The sequence below is a fragment of the Homo sapiens genome, chromosome X, assembly GCF_000001405.40.
Source record: "Homo sapiens chromosome X, GRCh38.p14 Primary Assembly".
NCBI lineage: Eukaryota > Metazoa > Chordata > Mammalia > Primates > Hominidae > Homo > Homo sapiens.
In genome coordinates this window covers 7,366,893-7,376,339 of record NC_000023.11, presented here as the reverse complement: position 1 = coordinate 7,376,339, position 9,447 = coordinate 7,366,893, and the positions used below count along the sequence as shown (strand labels likewise).

The window sequence follows — 9,447 nt, the reverse complement described above, 5'->3', positions numbered from 1 at the left end:
GGAGTGGCCACTGCCATGATGCCGGCTGTGGTGGGGGAGACGTGGCCAGAGCTGTTCACTCCATGGAGCCAGTGGGAGCTGGGAACAGGCGGGAGCCCCACCCCCTTCTGAGTTAGAGGGGTGGAGCCCCACCCTCACAGGCACAGATGCAGCCACCCAGCCATGGCTGCAGACCTGGGCATCCCTGTGCTCTTGGGGACTGGTGTACTAGTCCGTTTTCATGCTGCTGATAAAGACATACCTGAGACTGGGTAATTTATACAGGAAAAAGGGTTTAATGGACTTATGGTTCCACGTGGTTGAGGAGGCCTCACAATTATAGCAGAAGGCAAGGAGGAGCAAGTCACATCTTACATGAATGGTAGCAGGCAAAGAGAGCTTGTTCAGGGAAACTTCCATTTTTAAAACCATCAGATCTTGTGAGACTCATTCACTATCAAGAGAACAGTGCAGGGAAGACCTGTCCCCATAATTCAATTACTTCCCACAGTGTTCCTCCCATGACATGTGGGAATTGTGGGAGTTACCATTCAAGATAAGATTTGGGTGGCGACACAGGCAAACCATATCAGCTGGGAAGCTCCCCTCCCTCCACAGGCTCAGAAGTGCCTTCTCCAACTGCCTGGCCTCTCCCCACTCCCAGTATCCAGTCTGATTTTGCAGCAAAGTTGAGGTCAAGCCCAGATGCTGTCACGATTCACCTGGGTGTGTGTGTGCTTGAGGCAGCACTGACACACCAGCCTCCTGCTGCCTCAGCCCCCTCTGGGCTTTAGGCACTGATGACCACAGGAGGGAGGCCAAGGAGTGGGGCTGAGGGCAGCTCTGTGTGGGCCTGCAGGTTCCCCTTGGCGTAAACAGTCTGGGTGCCATGGGCACTATGGATGACAGGTCGATGACAGCAGGAGGCAGACAGGCTTCTGGGTGGAAAGGGGTGGGTCACTGGTGAGGCCTTACCTTCAAGCCAGGGATGACCTGAGGCCAGGCTGTCAGTTCCACAGACCACAGTGAGAACTAATGTTGCTTTTCCTTGGCCTGGCCATGGCCGCCCACGGACCAATCAGCAGGCACTTCCTCCCCTCTGAAGCCCATAAAAACCCCGGACTCAGCCAGATTCGGGCAGATGAAGGCATGACCTGCCTGTGGATAGGAGCTACCCATTCTGGGTTTCCTCTCCACTGAGGGCTGCACAGATGTCAGGATGACTTGCCTGTGGATAGGGGCTACCCACTCCAGGTCTCTTCTCCACTGAGGGCTGCACAGACATTGGGGTGACCTGTCTGTGGAGGGGAGCTACCCACTGCAGGTCTCCTCTCCACTGAGGGCTGCATAGACATTTAGATGACCTGCCTGTGGAAAGGAGCTACCCATTTTGGGTCTCCTGAGAACTGTTCTGCCACTCAATGAAGCTCCTCTCTGCCTTGCTCACCCTCCAGTTGTCTGTGTACCTCATTCTTCCTGGAGACGAGACAAAAACTTGAGACCCACTGAATAACAGCACTAAAAGAGCTGTAACACAAACAGGGCTGAAACATGCACCTCCGCTCACAACGGTGCAGATGACGAGAAGAAGAGAAGAGCTGCTTCCCTTTTGGGAGCCCAGACCCAGGGGCTCTCAGAGCCAGGGCTGTGACACCCTCTTTGGGATTCTGCAGTTCCTGGCATCTCCAAGCTTCAGGACACCACCACGTTTCCCTTGTCCAGATGGGAGTGCCCACAGCAGAAGCTGTGTGCAGTACATCTTGTCCAGCCACAGCCTGGCATGGAGCTGGCACCTGTGTTGGCACCTGGAGCTGCCTGACCCACTGCAACAGCCAGCATGCCTAGCTGCATGCAGTGGCTGGACCCCATGCTCGCTCACCTACACACCCCTTGCCACTCCGCACCTGACTTGCACTTGGCGAGTATGAGATCTGGGCTGGTAGTGCAAGCCAAGCACAACCTGCCAGGCCAAGTGGGTGAAATGAGCCCAGCAGGTGCAAGAAATACCCAGGCAGAAGGCGTCACTGGCCAGAGAGGTTTCTGGCTGGTGAAGCAACACTCCAAGGATTCCATGACACTTGAATAGGTGGATGACCAATGAATGTTGAAAAATGAGTGTTAGGCATACATTACAGATACTGCAAACACTTTTACATATGTGTGTGTATTCATTATATTACAGTATGACCCTCCAAAGTGACAAGTGTCCATATGTCCATATTACAGAAGAGAAACTGCGCAAAAAATCGCAAAACTGGCAGCCATGGAATTTTTAACTTTTTTCATGTATATTTTTAGAAACAGGGTCTTGCTTTGTCACCCAGGCTGTAGTGCAGCGGTGCAATCCTAGCTCACTGCAGGCTTGAACTCCTGGCCTCAAGTAATCCTCCCACCTTGGCCTCCCAAAGTGCTAGATTACAGGTATGTGCCACTGCATCCAGCCCAGACTTGGAGTTTTAAATGTAGGTTTGTCAAGCTTCAAGGACTATGTTCTCTGCCTCACTGTGAGACCAGAGGGTGGGGGAGATCTTGCCCAGGGAAGGAAGACTTGGAGAAGTATGAGGGTAAGAATGTGAGTGAGGCTTTGGCCCCTGGTACTCACAGGAGTGAGTTCTGCTCTGACCTTTTACTCTTCTTCTTTCACTCAACTCATTCAGACCTACTCCTGGTCCAGTTACAGTCTATTGAGCAATTTTCCTTGGTCACTTAATACTGTTCCTTACATTATTGTTGTAATTGTTGTCATCATTATTGTTCCCTCATATGCACAGCTTTCTCTTTTTTTTCCCTCTAGATCCACCCTCTCTTCAGGAATATCCAATAGCAGTCATCAATTGAATTAACTGAAATCCTGGATTGGGATCCACTTACATTTTAATGTACTGTCAGTCCAATGGCTGTTGCAGGACAGCTGAGAACCTTATATTATAAATAAACCAACTAACACATAAAATACATCCGGTACAGAATTCACATTTCCTTCAGTAAAACATATAACTTAACTCTTCCACGTGAATCTCTGATGTGTCACACAATATAGAGGCTGAGGGTGTGGCATCTGAGTCACACTGAAGAATGTGCCTTTCCTAGCCTCATTTTCCACATTTTAAAATGTAGCTAAAATACCTAATAATGCCCTTTGATAAATAACAGAGTCAATATCCATAAAGTTTTTAGAATATGGTCGGGTACCTAGTAAACAGTCAGTGCATATTAGCTAATTTTTGTGTAAAGTGAGACTGTTGTTGTTTTTCTTGTGAAATCAGATACTCTCTTGAGGAAACCCAAGTTGGGCAAGAAGTGCACGTTTTTATGAGACATCATGGAAACGTCAGGAAATCCAGAGAAAGGAAACCAGAAACAACCTAGCACCCAAGGAACTAGAAATGAAGCCGTATCTTTGCAGAATCACAATGTTTCGGTTTTCACTCTCCCAGACATGTGACTGACTCCATTTCTGAAGTTCCCAATTTCAAACTGCTGGCAAGAAATTGGACTGGCCCAGCTCCTGCATTCACAGCAAATCCCACAGGCCATAAACATCTTAGCAGCCTGTACATGTATCCATTATCTAATCCTATTCCAAGCTTCTCGTCACCTCATTCAGAAGTGAATGTAGCTTCTGAATAGGGGCTTTGACAGGGGTCATTCTAGAAAAGTTCTAGGTAGAGTCATTACCTTGAAATACATCTAGTGCAAGCTGCCAAGCATGAAATTTATAGCACCTCCACTTTCTGTTCTGCCATCATTTCTTTGATGGTAGAGCATTTTATACAGTGCCTCAGAGTAAATAAGGAGGAAGGAGGAAAAGCCGTCTTTCCTCTGAGATATATTGGTTGGTTTAGATGTCATATCTCAAGACAGCAACCAGTTTATTGCATTTGCTACTCCTCCAATTCATTTATAGTCCTAATGCGACTTACATTTGCCTTGTGACATGATGCTGGAGGCACTTCAAAGACAGTCTGTGCAAAGGAAGGAGGCAGGAATAGGGGAGAAACAGGGATGAGCCCCTCTGGAGAAGGGTCCTATCATCCTTATTCACCCAGGAAGAGACATGATCCCTTTGCAAAAAGGATGCTTTCAATTCTGGAAGGGAAACTCCACACATATTCATTACTTTCCCTGTTTGAATTACAGGAGCATAAATTGGGGAAACATAAGGAAGCATTTCTGCAGTTTTATGGAACATCGTATGAAGTTACATATTTTTTCCCTTCGAGTAAAATAGTTTTGGGTATCCCTTGTCTGGGCAGTGATATCTTGAGTGACTCATTTTAATTACAAAACACCTTACTTTTTTTTTTTTTTTTTTGAGACAGGGTCTCACTCTGTTGCCCAAGCTGGAGTGCAGTGGCACCATCATGGCTTACTGCAGCCTGAAACTCCTAGGCTCAACTGATCCTTCTTCCTCAGCCTCCCAAGTAGTTGGAATTACAGGTATGCACCACCAAGACCAGCTATATAATTTGTTTTATTTTTTGCAGAGACAAGGTCTTGCTGTGTTGCTGGTCTCAAACTCCTGGGCTCAAGCGATCCTTCCACCTTGGCCTCCAAAAGTGCTGGGATTACAGGGGTGAGCCACCATGCCTTTTATGTATGTCACCTTTCACCCAGCTGATCCATATGGGTTCTGTAGACACCAGAGGTGCAACAAAGAAACAGCTCCAATGTTTAATTTCTGAGAAATATTTTAGCCCCCTTCTTAAAACCTTACAATGCTAGTCTCTTGAACCACAGCTCTCATTTTCAGCCCTCATAATTAACACATACAAAGGCATACTCACATACACAGACACATAAACACACACAAATTCAGACACACACACATAGACACAAGAACATTAAAGAAACTGCAATTGCTAAACTGTAGAATAATATTTCACCCTGTCTTCCTCATCTCCCCTACCACCTTCTGCCTAGAATTTCTTCCCTACATTACCCACCCACTAAACACTAATACCCTCAAGTATCATAGGTTTTTCTCAGTTGTTAATTGAGAAAACTGTCACTCCCTCATGGATATAGTATAAGAATAAAATGATGTAATGTAAGCAAGACTGATGACATACTAGAATGTAAATAAGCCATTACAATAGATATTGGCTTAACACTGGCAGCCTTTACTACCTGCAGTGTTAAGCCAACATCTATTCTGCATTTCTTTCACAATTATAGAACTTTTTTATTTGCGCATGCAGCTAGTCTGCTAAAGACTACATTTCCCAGCCTCCTCTGTGGCTTGGTCGTGTGACTACATTTTAGCCAATGAGATATTTTATTTTGTATATCTTATTTTATTTTTTAGAAACAGAGTTTTGCTCTGTTGCCTAACACTCAGTGCAGTGGTGTGATTATAGGTCACTGAAGCCTCAAACTCCTATGCTCAAGTGATCCTCCCACCTCAGGCTCCTGAGTAGCTAGGACCATGGACACGTGCCACCAACCTGGCTAACTTTTGAATATTTTCGTAGGGACAGAGTCTTACTCTGTTGCCCATGCTGGTAACCAATTAGATGTTTTAAAAAGTTGAAATCATCTCATTTCCCAATTAGGACTTCCCTGAAAGAGCAGAAGAGAATTGGTCACATGGAGCAAGAACACTGGGGAGGTCATGGTGATGTTTTAGGTCAGAATAGGGCTAGGGTGAGGTAGTACATTGTTCAGCAAATATTTGCCTCTGTTTCTGGGGTAGGCAGAATTTTCACCATCATGACTTTCACTTCCTGGTGCTGCTCCTGTGGTTTAAGTAGGTTACATAGCAAAAGGGATTTTGCAGATGTAATTAAGGTTACTAATCAGTTGAATGTATCTTCCAAGTTATAATAACTTAAGTTGAATAACTTAAGCTGAATTAGTTGAACTTATCTTCTGACTGAATAAGATTACTCAAGCTCACTTAATAAGCTTCCTACTCAATTGGAGATTATCCTGGATTACCTGGTGGATTCAGTGTAATAACATGAGCTCTTAGAAGTAAGAAAAAGACAGAGGATACTATCAGAGAGATTTGAAGTGTGAGAAGGACTTGACCTTCCATTGCTGTTTTAAAGATGGAATAACCTGGTTGGGTGTGGTGGCTAATGCTTGTAATCCCAGCACTTTGGGAGGCTGAGGATTGCTTGAGCCCAAGAGTTTGAGACCAGCCTGGGCAACATGGAGAAACCCCATTTCTACAAAAAATGCAAAAGAAAAAAAAATCAGCCTGGTGTGGTGGTGAACACCTGTAGTCCCAGCTACTCGGGAGGCTGAGGTGGGAGGATCACCTGAGCCTGGGGAGGACAAGGCTGCAGTGAGCCGTGGTCACACCACTGGACTCCAGCCTGGGTGACAGAGTGAGATCCTGTCCCAAAAAAAATAAAAAAATTAAGATGGAGGAACCCATGTGGACAGTGTGAGAAGTAAAATAATTCTGCCAATAATCATTGATCTTGGCAGAGAACCTTCAGCTCCAGGTGAGACCAGAAGTCCTAGATGATACATAAATTTCATTCTGGTAAGAACTGGAGCAGAGATCCCAGTTAAGCTCCTCTGCATTTCTGGCTTACGGAACTGAGATAATAAATGGGTATTGTTTTAGACTGCTAAGTTTGTGGCAATTCATTACACAGCAATAAAAATCTAAGTAGTACAGTCTCCCTCAAGCTCCATGAGAGTATACTTCACTGACACATGGTCTGACCAAATAAATGTAGACAGAAATGACACTTACAGGCTTAAATCTGAAAAGGAGCTTGTGTTTCTTCTTGCCCTCTGGGTGCTCTGTCCTCTGCCTCCAAGCTTGGCCCTGAATGTAACACATGGAGTAAAGCCACAATAGATGACTCCCAGAAAAAAATGAGTATGAGAAGAAATATGTATTTTTATGCATTGAGTTAGAGGCTACCTTATTATGTAGCATTATTGTGGAAATAGCTGACTGACACATGGACATGTTCAAGCCAAAGCCTGCGGGACCTCAGCCAGAGTTGATATACTCCTTTGAAGGTCTATGCCCGTGGTCCTCCTGTCCACAGTATTCAACAGAAGAAAGCACTAGCATCAAAGAGGTTAAGACCAAAGACCACCAATAACTGCCTCCAAATCAAGAAACGACAACAGAATGAAAATAAACCCATGCAAGTAAAGGTTAGTTCTGAAACACATCCATCGAACTCCATATATTCAGAAATACTTTTAAAACTAAATACTAATGTGTGTAAATGCTTACATAAATTAATCACATGACATATGACTAAGAAATTTGACTGCATTTTGAGTCACCAAAATGATCAAGTTCTTTCATTTAAGAATCTATATAGAGTTGAGTTCCTCTGTCACATGTCTGGTGGTTCAGTAAGTCAATAACAACCAGTTATTTAATTCATGATGCCAGCATCAATAAGTTAGCTCACATTCATTCTAATTCACCTTGGAAAATTTACACCTTCTTCAGAACATCAAGCCTTGTGAAAACTGTTTGCAAAATGCCAAACAGCTCAGACAATAAGGGAATAATTAACCAATCAATTTGAATGACGCATAAGAGCAAACACACACAAATTATTTTGTCCTTTTTAAGGCTTTACTTATAAAGCTAAAGTTTATTTATCACTGACAAACCACCAAGTATCTGATGTCTTGGATAACTGAAAGCTATGTTATATATCTTTTGGAATATGTAATTTTAATTAGGCCAAGGCCCTATTCCTGTGATTATCCTCATAGATGGGTTAAAGTTATTTTAAGCCTGTACTATCTGCAAAAAAAAAAAAAAAAATCAGATTTTGCCTTGTGGCTCCAGTATATTTATTCCTAGAACTAGCTATGTCTGCATTTTCATTTTTTTATTGTTAAAAATCTATCTTTCCAAATATACCAATGTATCACTTGAGGTCTAGAACCTGTGGAAAGCCTGGAATCTGCGAACACAGGAAATTCCATCAGCTATTTTGTTTATTTCAGGGTAGCCTAAAGAAAGATAAGACATCGTCCTATAAAAAAGAAGTGGATACAAATGTTGATGACATCAAAACAGTCACTTATAAAGTGAGATTTTTAGGTCAATGAAAAATTACACAAATGTATTGGATATATACATTTAGACCATGATGATTCTTATGGAATAATTTCTTGTAAGGTAGTCATTTTTATGCAGGCAATTCAGACTCCACTGAATGGCAGCTGAGCTCAGTAATGGTGTCTAGAGTGATTTGCACCTCAGATAAGAGAGAGTCCAAAAATACATGCTTCTTTGAAAGGTTATGTTAGCTACTCAATTTTTAAATAATTTTATCTAGATTGCTTTGCAAAAGTCATTGCATCTTAGGTAAGAGACATAAAGAGTTTCAGATAAATGCCCATGTAGAAATGGGGACAAGAGAGTTACAGGAGCTAGTGAGAATGAGAATGAATACAGGGGATTAATTTCCATTCAAAGGGACAAGTTTAACTATGAATAGTGGGGCAAATTCTCAGCCAAGTTTAAACTATAAAGCCATACTGGAGGAGACAAGTAAAGTTTGGATTGAAAGTTTGAGAATAAGGTTAATTATTCAGAGCCAGGTTGAGAAAGAGCCCCCAAAAAAGAGTGGCCAGAAATCTGTGCACTTGAGGCTGTCAGTTAGAGCTGGGATAAGCTGGTGTATTAGTCTGTTTTCATGCTGCTGATAAAGACATACCCTGAGACTGGAAAGAAAGAGGTTTAATGGACTTATAGTTCCACATGGCTGGGGAGGCCTCACAATCATGGCAGAAGGCAAGGAGGAGCAAGTCACATCTTACATGGATGGTGGCAGGCAAAAAGAGAGAGTTTGCACAGAGAAACTCCCGTTTTTAAAAACATCAGATCTCATGAGACTTATCCACTATCACGAAAACAGCATGGGAAAAACCCACCTCCATGATTCAATTATCTCCCACCAGTTTCCTCCCATGACACATGGGAATTGTGGGAGTTACAATGCAAGATGAGATTTGGGTGGGGACACAGCCAACCCATATAATTCCACCTCTGGCCCCTCCAAATCTCATGTCCTTACATTTCGAATCCAATCATGACCTCCCAACAGTCCCCCAAAGTCTCTACTCATTTCAGCATTACCTCAAAAGTCCACAGTCCAAAGTCTCACTGAGACAAGGCAAGTCCCTTCCACCTATGAGCCTGTAAAATCAAAAGCAAGTTAGTTACTTTCTAGATACAATGGGGTATAGGTATTGGGTAAATACAGCCATTCCAAATGGGAGAAATTGACCAAAACAAAGGGGCTATAGGCTCCATGCAAGTCCAAAATCCAGTGGGGCAGTCAAATCCTAAAGCTCCAAAATGATCTCCTTTGACTCTGTGTTTCACATCCAGGTCATGCTGATGCAAGTGGTAGGTTCCCATAGTCTTAGGAAGCTCTGCACCTGTGGCTTTGCAGGGTACAGCCTCTCTCCCAGCTGCTTTCACAGGCTGGCATTGTCTGCGGCTTTTCCAGGTGCATGGTG

At 43.6% G+C, this 9,447-nt stretch overlaps 1 annotated feature.

Moving 5' to 3' along the window:
- Positions 2,318-3,517: an enhancer, noted in NCBI's record as "MED14-independent group 3 enhancer chrX:7290864-7292063 (GRCh37/hg19 assembly coordinates)". NCBI's record gives its function as "activates an origin of replication core promoter dependent on BRD2, BRD4, P300/CBP and CDK7 cofactors, and independent of MED14, by STARR-seq in HCT116 cells {active_cell/tissue: HCT116}" and the evidence as "EXISTENCE:reporter gene assay evidence [ECO:0000049][PMID:35650434]".